At 47.2% G+C, this 25,501-nt stretch overlaps 1 protein-coding gene across 3 annotated transcripts in view, besides 5 other annotated features; it reads right to left on the bottom strand.

Moving 5' to 3' along the window:
- LDLRAD3 (low density lipoprotein receptor class A domain containing 3) overlaps window positions 1–25,501 on the bottom strand; it is a 288,075-nt gene that overhangs the window by 73,331 nt on the left and 189,243 nt on the right. The window lies entirely within an intron of this gene.
- Window positions 5,280–5,449: an enhancer, noted in NCBI's record as "experimental_21355 CRE fragment used in MPRA reporter constructs". NCBI's record gives its function as "activates a minimal promoter by MPRAs in K562 erythroleukemia cells, with activity observed for the non-introgressed 11:36174992 variant allele {active_cell/tissue: K562}" and the evidence as "EXISTENCE:reporter gene assay evidence [ECO:0000049][PMID:34662402]".
- Window positions 8,329–9,528: an enhancer, noted in NCBI's record as "P300/CBP strongly-dependent group 1 enhancer chr11:36170828-36172027 (GRCh37/hg19 assembly coordinates)". NCBI's record gives its function as "activates an origin of replication core promoter dependent on BRD2, BRD4, P300/CBP, MED14 and CDK7 cofactors, with strong dependence on P300/CBP, by STARR-seq in HCT116 cells {active_cell/tissue: HCT116}" and the evidence as "EXISTENCE:reporter gene assay evidence [ECO:0000049][PMID:35650434]".
- Window positions 8,757–8,936: an enhancer, noted in NCBI's record as "active region_4630". NCBI's record gives its function as "activates an Ori minimal core promoter by ATAC-STARR-seq in GM12878 lymphoblastoid cells {active_cell/tissue: GM12878}" and the evidence as "EXISTENCE:reporter gene assay evidence [ECO:0000049][PMID:35858748]".
- Window positions 8,816–9,389: an enhancer, noted in NCBI's record as "H3K27ac hESC enhancer chr11:36170967-36171540 (GRCh37/hg19 assembly coordinates)". NCBI's record gives its function as "activates a minimal SCP1, AML or CMV promoter by ChIP-STARR-seq in naive H9 embryonic stem cells {active_cell/tissue: H9 hESC(naive)}" and the evidence as "EXISTENCE:reporter gene assay evidence [ECO:0000049][PMID:30033119]".
- Window positions 14,544–15,151: an enhancer, noted in NCBI's record as "H3K27ac-H3K4me1 hESC enhancer chr11:36165205-36165812 (GRCh37/hg19 assembly coordinates)". NCBI's record gives its function as "activates a minimal SCP1, AML or CMV promoter by ChIP-STARR-seq in naive H9 embryonic stem cells {active_cell/tissue: H9 hESC(naive)}" and the evidence as "EXISTENCE:reporter gene assay evidence [ECO:0000049][PMID:30033119]".

Genomic DNA, 25,501 nt, shown 5'->3' with positions numbered 1-25,501 from the left:
AATTAAAAAAAATAAAAGACAGTTGTAGTAAGAAGAGGCTATCATTTTAACAGCATTAATTCATTCATTTATTCATTCCACAAAGTCTTCAGTGAGCATCTGTCACACCACAGGCACTGCTCCAGCTGATGGGATATGATGATATACAGAACAGAAATTCCTGCCCTCACAGAATTTACATGGTAGTGGGCAGAGACAGAGAGTAGATATAATAAAAAGTTATAGGGTATATTGTTTGGGAGAAGATAATAAATGCTGTGGCAAAAAAAAAAAAAAAAAAGCCCAGAACATGGTAAGTGGAACGAAGAGGGAGCGGGGTTGGTGATGGGTTGCAATTTTAAACAGGGGGTGGGGATGGGGATGGGGTTCTCCTTGAGAGGGTGGCACCTGATAAAGAGCTGAAGGTGGACCCTTGGGTATATGGAAGACAGGTGTTCTAAGTGAACAGAACAGCAAGTGCAAAGATCCTGGGGTGAGAGAGTCTTTGGTGCATTTGAGGAAGAGCAAGGGGGCTTTTTCCTTAAAATTCAATGAAACTCAAAGGGAATTACCCCCGGACAGTGACGTGCCTGGAACTCTCACAGCTGAGGCAGCTCTCATAACTCATGTGCTGAGGCTATCTTCATAGACTATCCCACTGGAATGTTTTTTCAACATCAGGTCTCAACCAAATAGTATAATAAGTACAGAAACTAACATAGTGGGTCAGGGCCAGCATAAAACGAAAAGAAGGGAATAGAATGTATTAAAAAATACCTGCGTCAGTGTGCTGAATGTAGAATGACTTCCTATCTGTATATTTGTGATATAAAAGTAGTTCTTATTGTAGGTTGGGGTCCAAATTGCTTAACAGCTACTAACCAACAGGTTACCTTCTACTGAGTCCCCAACTTGCCTCCTTGTAGCAGTGCCTTCTGCTCCCAGAACCTGGAAGCATCTACCCGTGACAGATCTAGATTCCTTATAATCTAAGCTCAAAAAGAGGCTCAGAGAGAAAAAGATGTTTCCTCAACCACCAGACCTTGCCTGTCTCAGCAACAACTGAAATGGAGACACTCCGCTCCCTCCAAAAGACAGACACCCTGCTTCCCACCCAGGGGCTATATCTTCCTGTGATGGTCCCAATGGCTCCTACTCCACTAGAATTTTAAGACACTCAAAACAGAGACCCGCAAAATAGTAGGGGCTCCCTTCCCTTATCATGACCCCCAATCCACAGAGTGGAGTTTAACTCATGGGCAGTTTGCTGGAAAATAACTCCCTGGCCTAACCAATGTTCATCTGTTCTCTGGGCCAAGAACCCCATGGTTCATTTGGGACTTTAAAAACTGACTAAATAAAAAGAAATTTTAAAAATCAACAAAAGTGCAACAGAACCACTCACAAGCTGCAATGTGGGAAACTCTTCAATTAACTCCCTCTCAAGTTTTTCTCTTCTGACAAGACCAAGTTTGTCTGGCATCCCCCAGAGGTCTCCCTTTATCTGGACAACTCATTTTGAGTTTTTGGACTACATCCTGCACTAAGCAGGAAATTATTAATGTTCCCGTTTAAAGGCATGAGGGGGCAGAGATCCTCTATGATGGTTTCGGGGGTGCAGGAAACTGTATACAATCTGGAGACCCCATCAGCCCCTTACAGCATTACTGGGAGCATTCTGAATGGGGTCCTCTCTTTCCAGCAGGAGACCAAAAGATTGCCCTTAATAGAATTGTTTAAATTGCCTAAAATTGCTGCTTCTATTCCAGGCTGAAAATTACAGCCCTTACGCTGTTTCCCATCCTCTCCCCAGGGTTACTCAGTGCCCCAGAGGAGATCTGTACTAACAACATCATCAACAAAACCTGAATGTACTTTGTGTGGAGAAAAATATTTGCAGCTTTTCAACCAGATCCGAAAAGGCAGTGACTGACATACACACGTTCTCCCAAATGAATTCAGATTTTCCTTTTTTTTTGGCATGACAAAACAAATTACCAGCTTGATTTATGTTGCCTTCTGAAATGTTACAAATCAAATGCTAAAAATCTCTGAAACCATATCATGCTGAAGATGATGAATGCTGATCTTCCTTCTTTGTCATTTTCTGCCAGCTGGGTGGGTGCCATGAGGAGGGGAGGGGATGATGAAGAAGTTATTGTTGCCAAATAATGCCACATCAGGGTGTGAGTGTTGAGACAGTCATTTCCTTACCTTAACTCCCCTCTAAGAGAAGGCTGTGTGTGGGTAAACAAACAAAACCCAATCTGTGTATATTTCAAGGACGTAGATCTTCTGAAAACTGCTGTTTACTGCAGTGAGACAGCACTGCCTTGGGAGACCCAACTTCTTTCAGCTCATGCTAACAATGGCAAATGGGTGGACCTGATCCAAGTGGCCCTGTACTGCCCCATCCATGTTCTGCCAAGGCACCTGGCCCTACCCAGGGTCCTGCTGGGCAGAGCTGGCTATACGAACAAACTTGGGCTTTGAGTTTGCAGTGACAATGTGTATGTGCAAACAGCTCTTCAGTTGGGGATCGTGCCACTCCAAAGGAATCACAAGCTGCTTTGGATTCAATCTTGAAGCCTCAACCAAGACTGCCAACTACTGGCGGTCTTTTTTATCCCTTCAGGTGCTTAGCTGTTGATGAGGTTATACAATTTCCACTCAGTACGTTCTTCTCAACGAAAGCAAAGGACTTCTGACACATCGCAAGGCTCTACCTCGAATCAGCAGAGTCAATCTCTTGTATGGAGTCTCTAAAAACTGCTCCCTGGGTGATTCTAATGTGCAACTAGGATTGAGAACCACTAAAGAAATGGTGAGGCAGAACATGACTCATCTAAGAACATAATTTCCCAGCTCAAAGCTCTTTCCTCCACAGAGCCCTGCAGGTGGCCACATGCTACTATTGCTGGCTCAGCTTCTTAAAGGCAGGGGGAAGGCAGGCCCAGGACTTTTAAGGACCAAGACTAGGCTCCAACAGAGGATTTTCTAGATAGGCGCATCCCACTCTAGTTTCCATTGAAAAAAATCTTGCTACGCACCTACTATGAGCCAGGCGGGTACCCCTGGGAATAACAGGGGTGAACAAGAGGCCCCTGCTGTATCCTAAAGTGATGGATAACTATGTTCTTGAACTAGGCTAAGTGCTTTGCATTCTCTCATTGTCTCATTTAATCCTTACCACTAGTCTGTGAAGTACGTATTATTATCCTTATTTTACAGAGGAAGAAACTAAGGCTCAGAAACATTAAGCCACTTGCTCAAGGTCACACAGCTGGGAAATAACACAAGTCTGACTTGTTCCAGGCACGGAGGCCAGCGTGGGGAGAAAACAGGGAGCAAAGATGAGCTGGGGAACAGACGCGGAAGTCAATATAACTATGACTTCAGCGGGCTCTCTCCAAACAAAGTTTTAGATGAAATTCTTTAAACAAGAAGGAAGAAAATAATTTGGAATTTCTGGCAACATTTTGAGGCAGAGCTTCAAAGGACCCGGATAAATAATGAATGTCACTGAAAGGCCACAGAGCAGAGGGGCAGAATCACATGCTCGCCATGCCAAGAGCTGCTGAAGAAAGAAAATACTTGACAGCGTGATCTGTGGGTTGTTAACAGCATCTGAAAATCTTTCTAGGTCAGCAGATTTCCTAGACAGCTGTGATCCACTCTGGGGAGACTGTCAGCCATTGATTAATTCCTAATCAATGAGAAAGCAAATGATGGCAAATGAACCAGCCTGAACTGGAAAGATTGTGGGTCTGGGGTAAAAGGCCATCCTCTTCCCAGCAGAATTCAAAGTAAGGGCAAGGGTGAGAGGGTGGAAAACAGGGAAATGGGGAAGAGGAGGAGCTGCCCAAGGAAAGAGGACAGGAAGGGAGAGAGAGAAGCAGACAGACAGATGGACTGGGCCTAAAGACAGCATGAGCTCCTGGGAGAGGGACTTGTGGTAGAGGCCAGGGGAGACTGCCTGGGGTCACCTGGTGGTTGGTTTGTCCATGATGGAAAATTTTGTCTCAAATGAGGCTGTCATTAGGATGCACATGGATGTCCCTCTGACATAAGTTCCAAGAAAATTAACCAATAGGAACTGAATGATAAGACATGAAACAGATTCCTAATTAAGTTACCTGACTCCAGACTGACTGCAGCTGCAGGTTCTGAAATGGGTTTGCATGGGAGGCTACAGGCAGTATGGAATGGGGGAAAATAACGGGGTTTTTGGTCAATTAAGTTCAGGAAACACAGGTTAGACAACAACAAACAATTTCTTTTCCCTACGACTTCTCTAAACCTCTGTTGTGATTTCTAAGATTGGGAAAGTGCCTCCCAAATTCATGTGACCACAGGCGGAGCTGCTTGTGGATTTAGGGTTCTAAGGAACATGCTTTAGGAAAGCTACTTGGGTACAAAGGGAATAAGTGGGGTCCAAGAGCCCCTAGGCTGTGCCACCTGGGGTCTAGTCATCTCTTGGACACTAACAGTGGGTCACCATTTACCTGTCCTGGCTCACCCGCAGGCTGGGTACATCAGTGGTGGTAGTATCATGGGCACATTCTTCAAATTTAAGTCCCCCAGATGTTTAAAGGTGTGACTTACTTTCAGTCGGTGTGGCATTCTCTGAGCTCAAAATTGGGACTCTTTAAGAATGCCAGAATGCGAGAGAACATTCTGGATGAACTCATCTCTTTACAAAAAGAAGAACAGAGGCCGAGGAAGTCAAGCAGTTTATGCCAAAGTCTCTGGGACAACTCAGTGGTTGAGACACAACTGGAACCCGAGGCTTCTGGCCTTCAGTCTGGGATGAAGGTGCCTCTCCAACTCCCCCACACCCCACTGAAGGCACAATTCCAACCAATGTTTAAAAACTTAGAAGAACAGTATCCTTGAACTGTTGGAGAGGTGGTAAATTCTACTTTCCCATGGCCCGCCTACCTCTTGTTAGTCTATCGATGACACTTGCACATGATTTATCCTGTTAAAAAAAAACATTAACAAGCAAAGCAAGCTAGAGAAACCCCCTAATGGCAGGAATTTAAACATTTGCCCACCACTAGAGCAAATAAATATGCACATAGCTGCATTCCTCCCTTCTCCTTTGTTCAAGAAGCAGAAAAAAATAAGGCCAAAAGAGAGCACTTGGGAAATGGGTCACTGGGATTGCAAAAAGGGATGTTCCACTTAGCCATTCAAAATGTGTCTTGCTAATTAAGAACATGTACTTGGTAACAGGGTCTACCTTTATGACAAATTTACAGACAGATCCAGAAATAGATCAACCAAGGTAATCCAGAGACAAGCCTCAATGTCCTAAGAGAGGGAGGGGTGCCAACTGACCCAGCAAAAGGTCTGGGAAAGCAGAGATACCCCCAACTGTGTTCAATTAAAAGTTCTCTCCCACAGCAACCAGAGCCAGCCAGTGCTCAGACAGAAACTTATATGGAATTTACTCATCTTGCTTGACAATAATCTCCGGTCCCTCCTGGGCTCAAGTGCTTTCTGCAGCAATGTTAGGTGGCATTTATTCACTCCTGAAGTATACATTCAACAAATATTTGCTGCAGGAGGACCTGTTCTGAGAAGTGGGGATACCACATCTACAACTCAGAGTTCCTATGCCCATGGAGCACATCCTGGTCAAGCACCCCGACTATGCTGGGCATCTCTCGGCGTCCTCCAAGAACCCGAAGCCATTAAGTGTTACTAACCCCTTTGTTGGAGATCCTGAGGCTCAGAGTGAGAAAATAACTTGCCACAAATCCATGGTAAATGGCAGATTCAGGAGTGGAACCCAGGTGAGCAGGACCTCAGAGTATTCATCCACAAACCTTAATCATCCCTGCCTCAATTAAGAAAGGAGACTGCTTGATTGTACCCTTGACTGAAAGCTTCCTCTCCCTCTTTGTTGGAGGTCCCCAAGAGCACCCCAATTGTGAAGATTTGCTAAGAGGACTCACAGGACTCAGCATATACTTGTACTCACAGGCACAATGTATTAGAGCAAAAGGTTACAGAGCAAAAATAGCATGGAAAAAGGTGCATGGAGTAAAGTCTGGGGGAAACCAGGTGCAAGCTGTCAAGCGTCCCAACTATTTATCCTAAAACAGACCTGCTATTTCAACTTTTTTCTGCACACCTTTCTGTTAGAAAAGCTGATCTGTGCAAATGGCCAAAGGGAGTTGGAAGCAGACAAAGCCAGAAGTATAGATGAAACCCTCCCTGAAAGAAGAATGGATGAATTTGTAAAACAGACTATATGGAGGATTTTTTTGGTGGGAGTGAATAGGGACACGGGTAGGGGCTGGGTGATTTCATTATGAAAGAGGTTTGGAAAGGGGAAAGCACTGGCACCAGCATCAGAGGACCTAAGGCTCTGTTTGACTTAAGGTCAATTCCTATCGCTAACGAGCTGTGTGACTGTGGCCAAGTCACTTAACCTCTCTGGTTTTCTCATCTGTAAAATGAGACGAAAGCTGAATTAGATAAACCTCTAATGGTCTTTCTGTCTCTGATAGCATCTGGTTTTATAACTGACTAGAGATTTTCTTTAAAATGGAAAGATTCCCTGGTGAATTTAGAAAATGACTCAATTCCACACAGCTTTCAGGAGCACGTGTATCACAAAGTGAGACTCATCTATGGATTCTTTAGCTAAAGGAAAAGGAAAGTGTGTGTTGGAGGGAAAGAGAGCATTTCTCAGCCAAGTGGCCAATTTGCGGTTTCAGTTCCCTTAGGAGGCGTTTGGAAATTCAGCATTCCTTGGTTCTACCAGTTTTTACCTCACTCAGGAAAAGGGAGTTGGATGGGCTGGTTTGGGAAGCTGGTGGTGGTCACAGAAGTCACTGCAGACACTTTGGGGTAATTTTCTCCAAGTCATCCAGCTAAAGTGTTGGGGTCAAGTCTATGAAGCTCTCTGGTAGCCCCAGCTCATGATCTAGCATTTCCTTGTAGTGGTACTAAGAGACAAGACAATAGTACTCAGTGGGCTGGGAGGAACTGTTTATTTTCCTTCCTTTTATTCTATTGATTGATTGTAAAGTCTAGCCTGCTTGGTAGAATTCATGCTAGCGCCAGGGTCTCTACTACAGACACTGATGTGTAACTGGCACTAGACAGGACTGGGGATTTTGACCAATATACATTTATCAAGCTCAATGGAGGAGGTGGAAGACTAAAAACAATTCAAAGTGGGATCCCGCCCTCACGGAACTTAGCATCTATTAAGGAGGGAGCGGAGTGCCATGGAAAGACCATGGGCTTTGGAAAGAGACCTGAGTTGACTACAGCCCAGCCCAATTGTTTACTAGCTATGTGGCCCTGGGCAAGAAACTTAACATTTGTAGCCTTAGTTTCCTTCTTCGTAAAATGGCGGTAACAGAGTCCAACTGTTAGGGCTGAGATTATCTATATGAAGGTCTTGGCACAGTGGCCAGCAGTGCCTCTCTTCTGTATTCGATGTAAATGGCACCCCCTGAAGTTTTGCGATGTGCACCCCTGGCCCATCTTACTACACAATACTGTGTATTGTGTAGTAAGTGCTCAATACACAGTAGCTGCTATTATGACTGTCTCTAATGTTACCATGTGGGTACATCAGAGCTGGGATAGAATTCAGGTCATTCCCAGATATGAGCATGATTCACTGAAACAGCACCATGTGAATTACAATTTGAACAACTGGAAACCTCTGGCCTGGCTAGACTGGTGAGGGCGTTCTAGACAGACAGAAAAGTGTGCCTGAAAGGTGGGAAACCAAGGATTGTTCAGAGGTGCCTATGGGTGCATGTGGTGAACAGATCAGACCTCGGAGAACTTTCCATGTCCAGTAAGAGATTCAGCTTTATGCTACTGGCAATGAGGGGCTATTGTGTGTTTGAACACAGACAGCAAGACAAGCAGGACTGGGCTTTCAGTGACAAGGACTGGAGGTCAGGAAGGCTCATTAGAAAGCTACTGCAAAAGCAGGAGGTAGAGAGAAGGCCAGAATTTGGGCATGGGCATTCAGCTTCAACAAGGGATCTTTCTTTCTTTCTTTCCTTTTTAATTTTTTATTTATTTATTTTTTTGAAACAGAGTCTTGCTCTGTTGCCCAGGCTGGAGTGCAGTGGCTCAATCTTGGCTCACGGCAACCTCTGCCTCCTGGGTTCACACCATTCTCCTGCCTCAGCCTCCCAAGTAGCTGGGACTACAGGCGCCCGCCACCACGCCCGGCTAATTTTTTTTGTATTTTTAGTAGAGATGGGGTTTCACTGTGTTAGCCAGGATGGTCTTGCCTTTTTTATTTTTTTTTAAAGAGACAAGGTCTCGCTCTACCACCCACGCTGGAGTGCACTGGTACAATTATAACACACGGCAGCCTGGGACTCCTGGGTGCAAGTGATCCTCCCACCTCAGCCTCCTGGGTAGCTGGGACTACAGGCGTGTGGTACCACGCCTGGCTAATTTTTAATTTTTTTGTAGAGATGAGGTCTCACTTTGTTGCCCTGGCTGTTCTCAAACTCCTGGCCCCAAGTGATCCTGCTGCCTCAGCCTCCCAAAGTGTTGAGATTACACGTGTGAGCCACTGTGCCTGCCTTCAACAGGGAATCTTTAAAGAGTAATATTCATGCCTCATTTATGGAACAAATATTGTTCTCAGTTCTCAGATACCGGTGTCCAAGACAGACACAGCCACTAGGAGGCAACATTGTTCTTCCCTAGAGATGGGACACCACACAGTCCCCAGGTAAACGATACCCCCTGCAGCCTGGTGGATAGTTCAAGAAAGCTGTTTTGGGGAATGAAAAAGGACACCCCACCTTCCACCTCATCCTACCACACTCCCTATTCCACCGTTCACGCCTGCCCTGGCCTGGTGAATGCCAAAGCAATGCTGTAAGAGAGACCCAGGGCTTTAGCCCTCAATTCAGCCACATTCATGAGTCATGAGTCATGAGGAACATGAGTCATGAGGAACAGTCATGAGGAACACATTCATGAGTCATGAGGAACAGACGCAGAGCCTCAATGGGGCCCCAAGTCAGCAAGGGATGCACCTGCCCCAGCACTTCTGGAAGCTCTGGCACTGTGTTCAGTGCCCTCATACCCTGGTCACCAAGCCCCAGGAGATGGTTTTCTACCCAATTACCAACTGAGACAAACGTGGCAGGACACTACAGCGCTGGGAGCCACAGACCCTGGCCACCAGCCCAGAAGCAGACTCACAGCTCTGACATTTTCAACAGGTAGATAGGAGCAGCGAACAGATTCAAACTCCCTCTCATCCTCATCTCTCACCAGCTGGACAACACTGCTGTGCAGGGACAGCGTCTCAGACACAGACGGTGCTTCTTGAATCATTTGTCTTTCTGGGGCCTTCCAAGTTGGGTTATTTTGTCCTATCCTTTCTAGCGACTGCATACTGATACTTTCTTTCCCCTTTTTCTCTTGCTTCCTGCCAACTTAACTTTATCCAGGATGGTCTTTGCATTTGTTGTGCCCACAACTCTCCAACCGCTATTCTTTTGTAGATTTTATCTGACAGATTTCATTTTACCTTCTGCACAGGCATCTGACCATCCCCTGACGTCTGATGTCTTCTCCCCTCCCAGGCCTGAGTGCCTGATCATTCCCTCAAGAATCTTGCAGAAAGGCCATCTTCCCTGGCTACTCCCAAATGGAGTTCAAAGCTCCCCTTTTCTGCTACCTTGGTACTCAACAGAACTCATCATGTGGGCATGAGTCTGTCCCTCTTCTTAGATAAGGAGTTTCCAGACGCTGTGGCCAGGTGTTCTCTCTTTATCATCCCAGTGTGCGACATGGGGCCTGGTTCATCATACGTATCAACACAGTTGGCTAAATGGATGGATGCACAAGGTAGACTGAATGAAGGACCATTTCACTAACTTCATTTGTCTCTCCTAGAGCAGCTGCCACCACCATCTGTTACAAAACCTTCAAACTGAAATGTTACTTCAATTCCTTTCCAACACTTTCTGCCTACCCAAGCCAGGGGATGCCTCCTTCACAGAGCTGGTCATCTGTGGGTAGCAGAAGACAAGTGAATGCACCATGTCCCTCAGACCTTTGAAGATATAGCTTGGGAGTCTTGCTGGGGTAAAGTGGTCCTGGCTCCATTCCCTGGCTGCTTCATGTTCCCAAGGGTCATACAAAGACCCAGAGTCTGAGACTGCAGAAAACCCCAAGACGGCCCTATCTCCTTCTCCTTGGCTGTCACTCAGATTCCCACCCAAACCTCCTCCAACTCCATGACTCTAAACACAGGATAGACTGAAGCATTCCCTTCTAGTTCTACTGGTAAATATAACTGTCAGAAGATTTTTCCAAAAGCAGGCAGTGAGAGAAAAATCATAAAGGCAGCAAAGTCCTCGTTAGGGAATAGAAAAGTTGGATTTGCCACCAAATGAACCGAGATGCCCCTACAGTCACCCCAGAAAATACACCCTGAGTGTATCGAGATAGTCATCTGAGCACTCGCAGATGTCTCCTTCCCGCTTCCAGATCCCTAAAGTGACAGGGCAGGGGTTAAAACACAAAGATCACAGGGTTGAGAACCAAGGAGAGGACCATCACTGGGCTCCTTTTCTAAAATCCCTATGCTAGATATATAACATTTATTTAATAAGAAAAACAGAAACAATGAAAACAATCTGGCCAGGTGTGGTGGCTCACGCCTGTAATCCCAGCATTTTGGGAGGCCGAGGTGGGCAGATCACTGAGGTCAGGAGTTCAAGACCAGCCTGGCCAACATGGTGAAACCCCGTCTCTACTAACAATACAACCATTAGCCGAGGCTGGTGGTGGGTGCCTATAATCTCAGCTACTCGCAAGGCTGAGGCAGGAGAATCGCTTAAACCTGGGAGGTGGAGGTTGCAGTGAGCCAGGATTGCACCACTGCACTCCAGCCTGGGCAACACAGTGAAACTCTGTCTCAAAAGAAATAAAAATAAAAATAAAAAACAACTAATGGAAAAAAGGAAAAGAAATAAAGGCCCAGGCAATAAAGACTCAAGCTGGTGGCTCACCCTTGTAATACCACAGGGCATATGCAAAGTCAGGTATTGCTTTGCAGTGATGTAAGAGGTCAGAATCACAGGAGTCTGGCAACTGCAGTGTCAGATACATCATACCACAGCCCCATGAGGAGATATTCTGAAACACTGATTGTTTTAGGAATTGTTAATAACTTGAGAATGTGTACATGATACTATGTGTAGGGGGTTGAACTGTGTCCCTCAAAAGTTATGTCCATGTTCTAACCCCTGGTGCCTGTGAATATGACTTTATTTGGAAAACGGGGTCTCTGCAGATGTAATTGAGTTAAGGAACTTTAGATGAGATCATCTTGCATTTAGACTTGACCCTAAGTCAAATGACTGGTGTCCTTTTAAAAGTAAATAGAGGGGCCGGGTGTGGTGGCTCATGCCTGTAATCCCAGCACTTTGGGAGGCCGAGGCGGGTGGATCACAAAGTCAGGAGATTGAGACCATCCTGGCTAACATGGTGAAACCCTGTCTCTACTAAAAATACAAAAAAATTAGCTGGGTGTGGTGGTGGGTGCCTGTAGTCCTAGCTACTCGGGAGGCTGAGGCAGGAGAATGGCATGAACCAGGGAGGCGGAGCTTGCAGTGAGCCGAGATCATGCCACTGCACTCCAGCCTGGATGACAGAGCAAGACTCCGTCTCAAAAAAAAAAAAAAAAAAAAAAAAAAAAAAAAAAAAAGTAAATATGGGGGCCAGTCATGGTGGCTAACGCCTGTAATCCAGCACTTTGGGGGCCAAGGTGGGTGGGTCACTCGAGGTTAGGAGTTGGAGACCAGCCTGACTAACACGGTGAAACCCTGTCTCTACTAAAAATACAAAAATTAGCTGCATGTGGCAGTATGCATCTGTAGTCTCAGCTATTCAGGAGGCTGAGGAGAGAGAATCACTTGAAGCTGGGAGGCGGAGGTTGCAGTGAGCCAAAACCACGCCACTGTACTCCAGCCTGGGTGACAAAGCAAGATTCCATCTCAATCAATCAATAAAATAAAATAAAATAAAATAAAGTAGAGGGAAATTTGGGACACAGAGACAAGAAATCTTGGGACTCCGGGGAGAATGCCAGGTGAAGACGGAAGCAGAGATTGCAGGGATGCGTCTACAAGCCAAGAAATGCCAAGGATTGCTGGAAGCTGCCAGAACCTAGGAGAAAGGTATGCAGTGAATTTTCCCTCAGGGTCCGCAGAAGGAACAAACCCTGCTGATGCCTTGATTTGGACTTCTCTTCTGAACTGTACGAGAATAACTGTCTGTTTTTTTAAGCCACCAAATCTGTAGTAATTTATGCAGCCTGAGGAAACCAATATACAATATACTATGATATGTAGAAGCAGCTTATATAGCTCTTTACAGGATAATCTCAATTATATGGTATGAAAAGGATGGACAATGGGTGTATATTACTCCTATAAAGAGAGAAAAGGTTATGAGAAACATACAAAAAGTTTGCCATCTCTTATCACTGATGGATTATCTAAAAGCAAAGCCTTGCTGCCATGTAGCAGTTCTTACTTTCATCGGACATTTGATATTCAAAATAATCCAGGGAGGTAAGTGCACAGGGTGACATTATTCTGATTTTATGGGTGACAACTTGAGTTGGAGTGTGATCAGGAGGCTGAGCAGTGACTGAGTCTGAATAAGAATTTAGGTCTTGGTGCTTCTCACCAGCACCCATTCATTTGGCTATTTACCTGGTGTTATGGGCTGAATTTTGTTCTCTCCTAAATTCCTGTGTTGAAGTCCTAACCTCCAACACTTTTTTTTTTCTTTTTTTTATTGATCATTCTTGGGTGTTTCTCGCAGAGGGAGATTTAGCAGGGTCACAGGACAATAGTGGAGGGAAGGTCAGCAGATAAACAAGTGAACAAAGGTCTCTGGTTTTCCTAGGCAGAGGACCCTGCAGCCTTCCGCAGTGTTTGTGTCCCTGGGTACTTGAGATTAGGGAGTGGCGATGACTCTTAACCAGCATGCTGCCTTCAAGCATCTGTTTAACAAAGCACATCTTGCACCACCCTTAATCCATTCAACCCTGAGTGGACACAGCACATGTTTCAGAGAGCACAGGGTTGGGGGTAAGGTCACAGATTAACAGGATCCCAAGGCAGAAGAATTTTTCTTAGTACAGAACAAAATGAAAAGTCTCCCATGTCTACCTCTTTCTACACAGACACGGCAACCATCCGATTTCTCAATCTTTTCCCCACTTTTCCCCCCTTTCTATTCCACAAAACCGCCATTGTCATCATGGCCTGTTCTCAATGAGCTGTTGAGTACACCTCCCAGACGGGGTGGTGGCCGGGCAGAGAGGCTCCTCACTTCCCAGTAGGGGCGGCCGGGCAGAGGCGCCCCTCACCTCCCGGATGGGGTGGCTGGCTGGGCGGGGGGCTGACCCCCCCACCTCCCTCCCAGACGGGGCGGCTGGCCGGGCAGAGGGGCTCCTCACTTCCCAGTAGGGGTGGCCGGGCAGAGGCACCCCTCACCTCCCGGATGGGGCAGCTGGCCGGGCGGGGGGCTGACCCCCCCCCACTTCCCTCCCGGACGGGGCGGCTGGCGGGTGGGGGGCTGACCCCCCCACCTCCCTCCCGGACGGGGCAGCTGGCCGGGCGGGGGGCTGACCCCCCCACCTCCCTCCCAGATGGGGCAGCTGGCCGGGCGGGGGGCTGACCCCCCAACCTCCCTCCCGGACGGGGCGGCTGGCCGGGCAGAGGGGCTCCTCTCTTCCCAGTAGAGGCGGCCGGGCAGAGGCGCCCCTCACCTCCCGGACGGGGCGGCTGGCAGGGCGGGGGGCTGACCCCCCCACCTCCTTCCGGGACGGGGCGGCTGGCCGGGCAGAGGGGCTCCTCACTTCCCAGTAGGGGCGGCCGGGTAGAGGCGCCCCTCACCTCCCGGACGGGGCGGCTGGCCGGGCGGGGGGCTGACCCCCCCACCTCCCTCCCGGACGGGCGGCTGGCCGGGCGGGGGGCTGACCCCCCCACCTCCCTCCCGGACGGGGCGGCTGGCCGGGCGGGGGGCTGACCCCCACCTCCCTCCCGGACGGGGTGGCTGCCGGGCGGAGACGCTCCTCACTTCCCAGACGGGGTGGCTGCCGGGCGGAGGGGCTCCTCACTTCTCAGACGGTGTGGCTGCCGGGCGGAGGGGCTTCTCACTTCTCAGACGGGGCAGTTGCCAGGCAGAGGGTCTCCTCACTTCTCAGACGGGGCGGCCGGGCAGAGACGCTCCTCACATCCCAGACGGGGCGGCAGGGCAGAGGCGCTCCCCACATCTCAGACGATGGGCGGCCAGGCAGAGACGCTCCTCACTTCCTAGATGGGATGGCGGCCGGGCAGAGACACTCCTCACTTTCCAGACTGGGCAGCCAGGCAGAGAGGCTCCTCACATCCCAGATGATGGGCGGCCAGGCAGAGACACTCCTCACTTCCCAGACGGGGTGGCGGCCGGGCAGAGGCTGCAATCTCGGCACTTTGGGGGGCCAAGGCAGGCAGCTGGGAGGTGGAGGTTGTAGCGAGCCGAGATCACGCCACTGCACTCCAGCCTGGGCACCATTGAGCACTGAGTGAACGCAACTCTGTCTGCCATCCCGGCACCTCGGGAGGCCGAGGCTGGCGGATCACTCGCGGTTAGGAGCTGGAGACCAGCCCAGCCAACACAGCGAAACCCCGTCTCCACCAAAAAAATACGAAAACCAGTCAGGCGTGGTGGCGCGCGCCTGCAATCGCAGGCACTTGGCAGGCTGAGGCAGGAGAATCAGGCAGGGAGGTTGCAGTGAGCCGAGATGGCAGCAGTACAGTCCAGCTTCGGCTCGGCATCAGAGGGAGACCGTGGCAAGAGAGGGAGGGGGAGGGGGAGGGGGAGGGGGAGAGGGAGAGGGAGAGGGAGCCTCCAACACTTTAGAATGCGACTGCATTTGGAGGCAAGGTCTTTCGAGAAGTGATTAAGCTAAAATGAGGTTTTTGTTTTGTTTTGTTTGTAGGGTGGGCTCTAATCTAATGTGAAGACATAGCAAGGAGATGCCATCTACAAGCCAAAAAAAAGGGGTGCTGGGAGAAACCAGACCTGCTGACACCTTGTGCTTGGACTTCCGGCCTCCAGAACAGTGAGCAGATGCATTTCCGTTATTTAAGCCACCCAGTCTGTGGTATTTTGTTAGCAGCCACAGCCAACTAATACACTTAGGAAGGCTGGAACACACAGTCTCCATACCTGTTTCTCTTTTTCCTGTGGCATTCTCCCTGGGCTCAAACAGGAAGTGGGAAAATACATAATTTCCAGGTACAGGATCCTCCTGCCCAATGAGGTTATTTCTGAGCTAACAACAGCCAAGACTTTTGGCAAGTCTATTTTTGGAAGAAGGTCCGCCCTGAACCGTGGAGAAAGAGAGTGGTCAAAGCCACATTCACCTGATGTGCCAGCTTCTTCTGGTTTCTCATTCAAGGCCACCACGGGAAAGAGGTAGAGGACGCCAGGCCTTGGGTTTCCTTTCTGGCCAGGGAGTTCTTTGTGACTTTTAAGCAGGGGAAGCAAGGCTGCCGGAGACAGCGCGTTGTGCCTGGGGAACAGGTTCACAGGCTCACAGACAGAATTGGGTTCAGATGCTGGTTCTGATCACTCCTAGGTGACCCCAGGCAAAATGCTTTCCCAGACTGAGACTCAATGTCCTCATCTGTAAAGTGAAGTTAACCCCACCCGCCTCACTGGTGAATATGCATCTGCAATGTTAAGCACTTAGCATAGTGCCTACCACATAGTACGTGTTTAATCAATGTTTGTTATGTATATTAATGAAAAGGTTCACCAATTTGGCTCCTTTTTCAAATGTACCTAAATCCCATTGGGGTGGTTTGCCTCTTTTCCCCTGGGTTCCATGAGCCTGGGAGCTGGATTTTTGCGTGACTGCACAGTGCTTTCAGATTTCCAATTGTTTTTTCCTTCAATATTTAAAAATCAAGAGCTTTCACACAGAAATTCCAACCTCTGGCTCCTTTAGATAACCTGGAAGAGGTAGTAATGCAGAAAGCGCCCTCCTGCTTGAAAATGCCTGGCTGCAGCTGGGTTGGGGGCTTCCCTTTGGTGTGGCACGTGCCCTCCAATGAGTGTGAGTCTCACTTCACCGGCTGCACCGGGTGCACCACTGCCCCTCCCACCTGGCTTCTTTTAGACGTTTGTGCTTAAGACTAAGTGCAGGAGGCGGGGGCGGGAACCAGACAGTGGGTTCAGCATGCACTGTGGATCAAGTAACCGAATCCTCTTCCACTCAGACTAAAGGGCTAAGAGGTGCTGAAGGTTGAGGACATCCAGACTTCATGAGGAGCCAGGTTTAAGGCTGGTAGGTGAACAGTTGTCCTAGTAAGAATTCAACCTCAAAATTTCACCAGCAGCTACTAAACGGAATATGATGACAAATCACAAACACACAGCAGAACTACAGAGTAGGAACAAACAGGCACATGGATATTCTTGTGTCTATGTCTTCTTCAGCTCACTTAATACAGCTGGGATGTGTGAATGAGGGAGACTGCAGTCTACCCTTTCATCAGAGTAAAACCATCAGAGAGGTCAGAAACTAAGGAGTGACTCTAGTGTGTCACTGCATTCAGAGTGTCCCAAATGGAGGTCCACAGAGGCTGCTAAGGATGGGCACCATCTGTCCGGAAACCCCAGCCATGGCTGGATGGCTTCCCCAAAAGTGAAGAAGGGGGAGGCGACTGGAAGCAAGCAATAGTGGTTTATTTTTCCTTAGAAAATGGAACAAGTTAGCCTGCACATCCTGTCTGAGATTCAGGGAAAGGTCCCAATTGTATGGTTAAGGAAAAAAAAGAAAACAACCTCTGATACTGCAATTTCACAGAGCAGATCGATATTGCAGCTTAAATGGGAATTTATTGCCTTCAGAAATGCAGATGAGGCTATGCACTGTGTTTTAGCCTGCCTTCCACCCAACTATTCTGCTGACTTCCTGTGACCCTGGCTGCTCCAGCCAGCTACCTCTTCAGGTAATGGAGAGTGCTCCATTCAGAGCCTGCTTGTCTGCTCGGGCCGGGGGCACCTGGCTCACTCCACGTGTTGCCATAGAAACTACTTATTTGAACATGCCCTTCATCTATATGGGTTAGCGTACATCCCTTCTTCACCCATCCCTGTCTCCCTTTACTGACTGATTCCCTACTCCCACCCCCACCAAATTCTCCTATTCTGGCTACTGCCTAGACCAACGACCCAGTAAGCATGTACTAAAGTTGATCAGATGCACTACAAGATCAAACCCCAGACCTCAGGACAGGGATGGGGCTGTGGGTTTCCATTCAGGCAGCTGTCTCCATTTTCCCGGAGGGATGCATCCGCTTCCACATCCTCCCCAGCCTTCCAAGACGCACATAAAAATTCGATCCCTGCTTTCTCTTTACTTTTATCTCTGCTGTGTGCTCTGGGGAGTTTTTACAAAACAAACGAACATGAACTTCAAGGTATGGAGAGTGTAAATCACTGCAAACTCTCCCAAGCCTCCAAATGCTACAAAGCTACTTAGCCAAGGACCAAAGAAAAACTCGATAGGTGATTATTCTTATTAAATAAACATTATCCTGCCTTTGCATTGCTTCCTAGTTGACAGAGCATTTTCACATATATTACTGCCATCGAATCCCCATGACAGCCCATACAGGAAGCAGGGCTAGTACCACGCATATCTCCATTTTGGATGGAACCATTTTTTAAAATACAGACACACACGCACACCCCCACACGGAGAGAGAGAGAGAGAGAGAGAGAGAGAGAGAGAGAGAGAGAGAAAGCTCAACAGCACCCAGAATTAAAACCAGCTAGGATTTTGTCACATTTCCATTAATTATTTTTCACATTAGTAGTACCTTTCGGATAAGGCAAAGAAGGATGCTTTATCTACTTCAATTGCATTGCCTGCTCACCCCTCGTGCTCCTAGGTAATTATTTTCTTCAGTTTGTTTTGCAACCTGAAAGTCTATTTTTAATACTTTCATAGACACATTTCTATCTATGATAAATAAATAATATTGGTTTCCATATGCTTTTAAAGTGTACACAACGTCAGGCACGGTGGCTCACGTCTGTAATCCCAGCACTTAGGGAGGCCGAAGTGGGCAGATCGCTCGATCCCAGGAGTTCAGGACCAGCCTGGGCAACGTGGAGAGACCCCATCTCTACAAAAAATTAGCTGGGCATGGTGGCGCACACCTGTAGTCCCAGCTACTCAGGAGACTGAGGTGGGAGGATCGCTTGAGCCCGGGAAGTAGAGGCTGCAGTGAACCGTGATAGTGCCACTACACCCTAGCCTGGGTGACATAGTGAAACCCTGTCTCAAAAATTGATGTGCTGCATGGTATTCCATCACAGGATTTGTCAAATCCCCTACAGACAGGCATTTAGATGGTTTGTTAATTTTTCATCATTACCAACAATGAGGATATGAATGAGCGTATGCGCATCCTCTTCTACACAGGCCAAGGTATTCTCTGGTGTGAGAAGGGTCCTGCCATTTTGGTTTACTTTGCCCTGCCTACTAGAAGAAGTGCACATCCCCTCATAGGCTCATGGTTCACCAGATTTCCCCTTCTGCAAACTGCCCAGGTAAGTCTTCGTTAAGAACAAACATGCCATATTCAGAGGTAACAAACACAGCTTTCCAAGACAAAACAAATCATTTCCCTTGTCCTGCTCATCACTGCTGACTGTTCTTTTCATGGCTGCCAGAGGGAATATTTACTTTTCCCTAGCATGGTGCTTAGCCCAATAAGAGATATGTCATTTTCCAGAGCATCTCCAAGCATGTAAGGCTGACCTATTCTTGACTCAGCCTTCAGGGCTGCCACAGAAGAACCAATCAGTGCCCAGCTCTAAACCCACAGCACATTCACTTCGGCTGGATTCCTGCTGCCAAGCCTTCCAGGGGAAGAGAGGTTGCCCCCTATTCTTTCCATACTAGGTTCTTCCCAACATCCATTCTCAAAGGGCACTCCCACGCTATCCCTTCACCCTCGTCTCCTGGAGATAATTTAAACACAGGCCACAGACAGACAGAGACACCAACTGCCTTCTTGCTGCCCTCCCGAAACTGGCAGGGTTTGGTGGTTTATGGGGAAGCGCACAGGTTTGGACTCATCAGCTGTGTGACTACGGGTAAGTTACTTACCCGCTCTGAGCCTCAGATATCTTTCCTGTTAAGATGAGGGTTGTTGTAAGAATTAGAGAAAATATACATGAAGCGACTGAAAAACATCAGGTGCTCAATTCATGGCAACCAACAGCAAGCCAGGAGGCTCTTGTTAAAAATCAATACAGCAAACAAGGATCTGCTCTGTGGAGACAGAGAAGTTACAATGTGGTCCAAACTCTTTAACAGTGAGACCTGAATGGGGAGACAAAATGAAGACACACACAGACCAAAGTTGGGATCATCTATAATTGACGGATGAATTATGCGGACTGGAACTGAAGTCTTCATGGAGAAGGCAGGATGTTAAGTTGGGTCTGCCCCCACTCCCAGGGGACATTTGGCAAGGTCTTAGAGACATTGTTAGTTGTCACAACTTAGGGACCAGGGTGCTACTAGTATCTAATGGATAGACCTCAGAGATGCTGGCTAACATTCTATAATGCAACAAAGAGTTTGCCAGTCCAAAAGACCAGCAGTATCAAGCTAAAGGAACCCTGAGTAGGGCCACAAAGAGAGAAGAGCATTCCAGGCAGGCTGGCAGCACAGGGATAGCAGGGAGTAGAAGTGAGAGTTGCATTTTCCTGAGATTATAAGGACATTTATCTGGCTTAAGCCAAGGCCACCAGCTAGGGCATAATGGGTGGGAGAAGAAAGGGTAGGCAAGGTGTGTATAGGTAAACAGTCAGGTTCCCTATTACATAGGGATTACATGTTACCCTATTACTGTGCTCTCTGCACAGGCAGGACTCACAGAATCAGAGAAGGTTAACTAGAAAACACCATCCAGACCAAGGGTCTTAAACTTTCTACCACCACAAATCTTCAATGTCCACCTACCCCTCAAACCCCCCAAGCATCACATGTTCTGACAACTGCCATCTTCTAAACCAGAGGCATTTTCCAAGTAAGATGTGTAAGGGCAGCTTGGTAGCAAAATCTGTCACCAAAATGCAGCTATTAAATACTAATTAATATGATTCCCATTTTTAACTAATCATAAACAAATGTCACTGCCAAACCAAGCCTCTGACCTCCATGAGATAATGGGTGTTGCTATGAAGTTGGAGTGAGTCCAGTCAAAGGCAAAGACATCAGGCACTTCTAATTAATACTGAAAATAGTCTGAGAGCCACCTCCACCAATATGTTTGTCAAGACCTTACTTTGGGACTCTTTGATTTGGTCAAACTACTTTACTGCACAAAAGATAAAAGAGACTATCAATAAAAACTAACTGATCTATTCCCGCATCATGTGCCAGGCACTGTGCTAGGCACGACACACATTATCTCATTTAATCCTCCCAACCACCCAAGGAAGTAGGTACTATTAGCAATCCCATTTACTTGCCTTTCAGAAATGTTATGGTCACAAAGTTAAGAAAGGTGAGAGTCAGGATTTGAACCCAGATCTCTCTGAATCCAGAGCCCATGTTCTTGCCCACAAGGCAATAGATGGTTCCCTTGCAGAGGACAGCCTGCTGGTGTCACTGCCAGCCTTGGACCCAACTCCCTGATCTTCAAGCACTCAGGGTGATGCACCTCAAATGCAACAGATTAAAGGGCCCCTGAGTTACGTATGGCCCAGTAAATTCCACCCTTAAGATGTGGTTTGACTTTTAAAAAAACTGAACACTTTCCTCTTATCTCATGTTAAAAAATAATGAGCACAGCTGAACTAGAGACGTCTGTGAATACAGACAAAACAGTTACCCATCACAGAAGCAAATAAATATGTAAATGGTTACCCATTCCTCTGCTCACTCTGCCTTCATCTCTGCAGCAGGGAAGAGCGGCAGCAACGGCGTTTTTCAAGAAGTGGTTTAGGATTATGTGGTGGAATTACTATTTATCTATTCAAAATATAAGGCTTGCTAATTAGGTCATAATGGTACTCATCTATCATGTGAATTTGGAGCATATACTGTATTGATCTACAATGTTGTCCACGGGCACAATGTGCTTATTAATACCAGCTTAGCTGTGCCGAGCTGTTCTCATGAAACTTCAACCTCCTGGAAACCAATTTAAGTCATCCAGGCTGACTGCAGATGAGTGGCATGTTGCTATTACACTGTTTCCATTAGGACTGCTAGACTTGAATGCTTCACCTTCAGAATCTTTCCCCTGGATTTTGTCCAGAGTTCCCAAATTGCAGAGGATCTGCTAATTCTGATGAGAGGTTACAGATAAAATGAACTCATGAGATTATGTCATTAGAAGTTGGTTGGGTAAAAACTGAACTTGTAGGTATGTGAATTGAGCCCTACATCTGAAAAGGTGTTCAGGCAGGCAAAGGATATTAAATGTTCTGGCTACCCCAGCAGGTGTCAGAGATGTCCCTTATTTACATACACAAACAGTGACAGAATGGTCCCATCACAAATCCATTTCCTGGTCAACCTCAGTTCAGGTTGCTGGCCAGTGACAAATGAGGCTTAGCATGGCTGCGTTATGTTCCATGGACCTCTTCCTAATATCTATGCTGAATTCTGGCCCTGCCAGAATTTGCTAGTTGTAGGGCTTTGGGTAACTGTGTTAGGCTGTTCTTGCATTGCTATAAAGAAATACCTGAGTCTGGGTAATTTATAAACAAGAGGTTTAGGCTGGGTGCGGTGGCTCATGCCTGTAATCCCAGCACTTTGGGAGGCTGAGGCAGGTGGATCACTCGAGGCCAGGAGTTTGAGACCCACTTGGCCAACATGGCAAAACCCTGCCTCTACTAAAAATACAAAAATTAGCCAGCTGTGGTGGCACACACCTGTAATCCCAGCTACTCAGGAGGCTGAGGCACAAGAATTGCTTGAACTCAGGAGACAGGGGTAACCGTGAGCTAAGATCGCGCCACTGTACTCCAGCCTGGGTGACTAAGACTCTGTCTCAAAAAAAAAAAAAAGAGGATTAGTTGGCTCACAGTTCTGCAGGCTTTACAAGAGGCATGGTGCAGGCATCTACTCAGCTTCTGGGTGGGCCTCGGGAAACTTTCCATCATGGCAGAAGGTGAAGGAGGAGCAGGCATGTCACATGGTGAAAGCAGAAGCAAGTAAGACAGAGTCTGGCGGGAGGTGCCACACACTTTTAAACAACCATATCTCAAGAGAACTCACTATCATAGAGACAGCACCAAGCCATGAAGGATCCGCCCCCATGATCCAAACACCTCCCACCAGGCCCCACCTCCAGCACTGGGGATTACAATTCAACGTGAGATTTGGGCAGGGACAAATAACCAAACTGTATCAGTAACTTACTTTACTTCTCTGTACACTGGCCTCAATTGTGAAATAGGAAAAACAGGATCTACCTTGTGGGGTTGTTGTGAAGTCTACCTAAGACAGTGTATATGAAACATCTGGTGCACAGTGGGCACTCAGGCTTTTATGCCTCAACTTAATCCTTCTGAGATAGGCCAGCATGCCCCCTGCAGCACACATTCATGAAGGCCAATCGGCATAGAGCACAGGACTCAGTGTACACAGATTCATGTGCACAGATGAACTGGGTTATATAGAAGGAATATCTTATCCTGAAGGAATAATGCTAGCAGGTCCTTCAGAGCTAGAGTGTTGGTAGTGTTGATCCACGAGATGTAACTCCAAGAAATAATTCCTTGGTTGGGTACTTTTGGAAAATGCCAAATACTGTATCTCCCACTTAGGGATTTATTTTTTCTTCTTCTTTTTTTGAGATGGAGTCTCACTCTGTTGCCTGGGCTGGAGTGCAGTGGTGCTATCTCGGCTCACTGCAACCTCTGCCTCCCGGGTTCAAACGATTCTCCTGCCTCAGCCTCCTGAGTAGCTGGGATTACAGGTGTGCACCACCACACCCAACTAATTTTTGGATTTTTAGTAGAGACGGTGTTTCACCATGTTGGCCAGGCTGGTGTTGAACTCCTGGCCTCAAGTGATCCGCCCGCCTCGGCTTCCCAAAGTGCTGGGGTTACAGCGTGAGCCACCGTGCCCAACCCCACTTACGGATTTCTAAAGCATCCAAGACTTGTAGTAGTTCCAAAACAAAGAAATCTGTTTGACTTCATTTTACCTGGGGTTTTTCATGCTTTTTAAATCACTGTTTTGGGAGATGGGTAGGTGATGCCATGAAGGAGTTTATCATTTTAAACACTCAGGATAATGAGAAGACTCAGAATGGGAACAGAAGGCAGGAAGAAGGAAAGCAAGGTCAGAATTGTTGCCACCCCTCAAGGCTTAGGGGCCAGAAATAACAACTCTCCAGAATCTTCCCAAACCCCAGCCATGGGGAAAGGGCAAAAAGCCAGCAATCAATCTTTCAAGAATCAAAATGCACAGAACTGGAATGCAGAGGCACGACTTTTCCCAGACATTTCCCTGGACTTCTGGCTTTGATCTGAAAGACCAGAGACAAGCCACAGCAAAACTCTGTGCTTATTAAACCGTGTGTTTAAATGATTTATACAGAAAAGTTGAGAGGCTGCATCTCCAGGCTGAGTCAAAAGAAGGTGGAAGCTCAGTTATCCCAAGTATCCACCAAACATCACTCTTCTTTTGCTGCACCTACAACAGTGAGGAAGAGGAGGGAAAGAGAGAGGGGAAACAGGGAAAATGGAGAAAAGAAGGGTGCTGAGAGTGGAGAACTGGGGACATAAGAGTAACCAGGAGAGAAACCTAGAGGCAGGGGAGCTGGAAGAAGTCATTAGTGTTTCACCCCCTTTAATACCCTCATGGTACCAGGCAGATGATACCTCCTGGTCCCCAGAGAGCCGGCAGCACCCACCACCAACTTGCCAATTCTGAGCTATTCTTCCTGCTGCAGATCAAAAGACAGACTTCCCAGCAAGAGGGGAGGTTCTCAAAAGCAAGTTAAACATAACTGCAACTGAATGAGCCCAAGAGGGAATGAATGATTCCATTTCTCAATGAGGTCCGTAACAGATGCCCAATGTGGCTGCAGCTACCTTCAGCTGAAAGGCTGGGCTCAGGCTTGCAAAAACTACACTGCTGCCTTCTCCATGAGATGTGAAGGGGGCCTACAAGAGTTCCCTCGAACAAAAATGCCATATCTCATTTCCCACACACCACTGTTAAGATGATATGTAAAATTCCCTCTCAAAGCTTGAGAGCTCTGGATGAAGAAACCACTTCCTTCAGACATGCAAATGCTGCAGACCCTATGGAGTGAGAATCTATGATTAAGCAGCCTAAGACATGACAGGAAAAATAAGATCAGGAAAACTCGATTTTTACAGGAACTGATAAAAGTGCTTATTAATATCATTAGTGCTTATTAATACCTAATGACAACAGACACTGCATATTAAGGAGACTATCAGTAACACTTTACACATCTTAAAATTGCAATCATTAGGAGTGTACAATGCATTTCAATGTATCCCCCTGCTTTCTGGAAGCTTCTCCGGATCTCCCTTTTCAGTTTCCATAAGATGCTGATGTTATGATTTTTGCCTTGTAGGAGGTAACTTGCAGACAAACAAGATTTTTTCCCCAGTGTCTGGTTGCCCATCCAAATGTCTGATGTCCTTCTGATTTTATCTCCATTCCTGTTATACTTGATCCAAAATTATCTGGGTCGCTATGCATGCATGTGTGTGTATGTGTGTGTATACATACATGTTATATATATATATACTTGGAAATCTGAAAGAGGGAAGAAGGAACAAAGCCAGATTTTTCTCAGCTTTCAGTTCTTTCAACTAGAACAGACATTTAAGAACCCACACCCAAGCAGAACTGGACCATTTTATCCTTCGATGTAGAAAATGGGCCGGGCGCGGTGGCTCATGCCTGTAATACCAACACTTTGGGAGGCTGAGGCAGGCGGATCACAAGGTCAGGAGATCAAGACCATCCTGGCTAACACGGTGAAACCCTGTTTCTACTAAAAATACAAAAACAAAATTAGCCAGGCGTGGTGGCAGGCGCCTGTGGTCCCAGCTACTCGGGAGGCTGAGGCAGGAGAATGGCGTGAACCCAGGAGGCGGAGCTTGCAGTGAGCTGAGACACAGCCTAGGTGACAGAGCAAGACTCCGTCTCAAAAAAAAAAAAAAAAAAGAAAAGAAAAAGAAAACGGACTTGGGCTGGGCATGGTGGCTCATGCCTGTAATCCTAGCACTTTGGGAGGCTGAGGCAGGAGGACTGCTTCAGCCCAGGAGTTTGAGACCAACCTGGAAAACAGAGCAAGACCTTGTCTCAGTTTTTTCCAAAAGAAAAGAAAAGAAAAGAAAAGAAAAGAAAAGAAAAGAAAGGAAAAGAAAATGGACTCAGGCTGGGCATGATGGCTGACACCTGTAATCC

This window comes from Homo sapiens, chromosome 11 (genome assembly GCF_000001405.40).
Source record: "Homo sapiens chromosome 11, GRCh38.p14 Primary Assembly".
NCBI lineage: Eukaryota > Metazoa > Chordata > Mammalia > Primates > Hominidae > Homo > Homo sapiens.
Note: the sequence above shows the minus strand (reverse complement) of the source record. Positions and strands in the feature narration are given on the sequence as shown.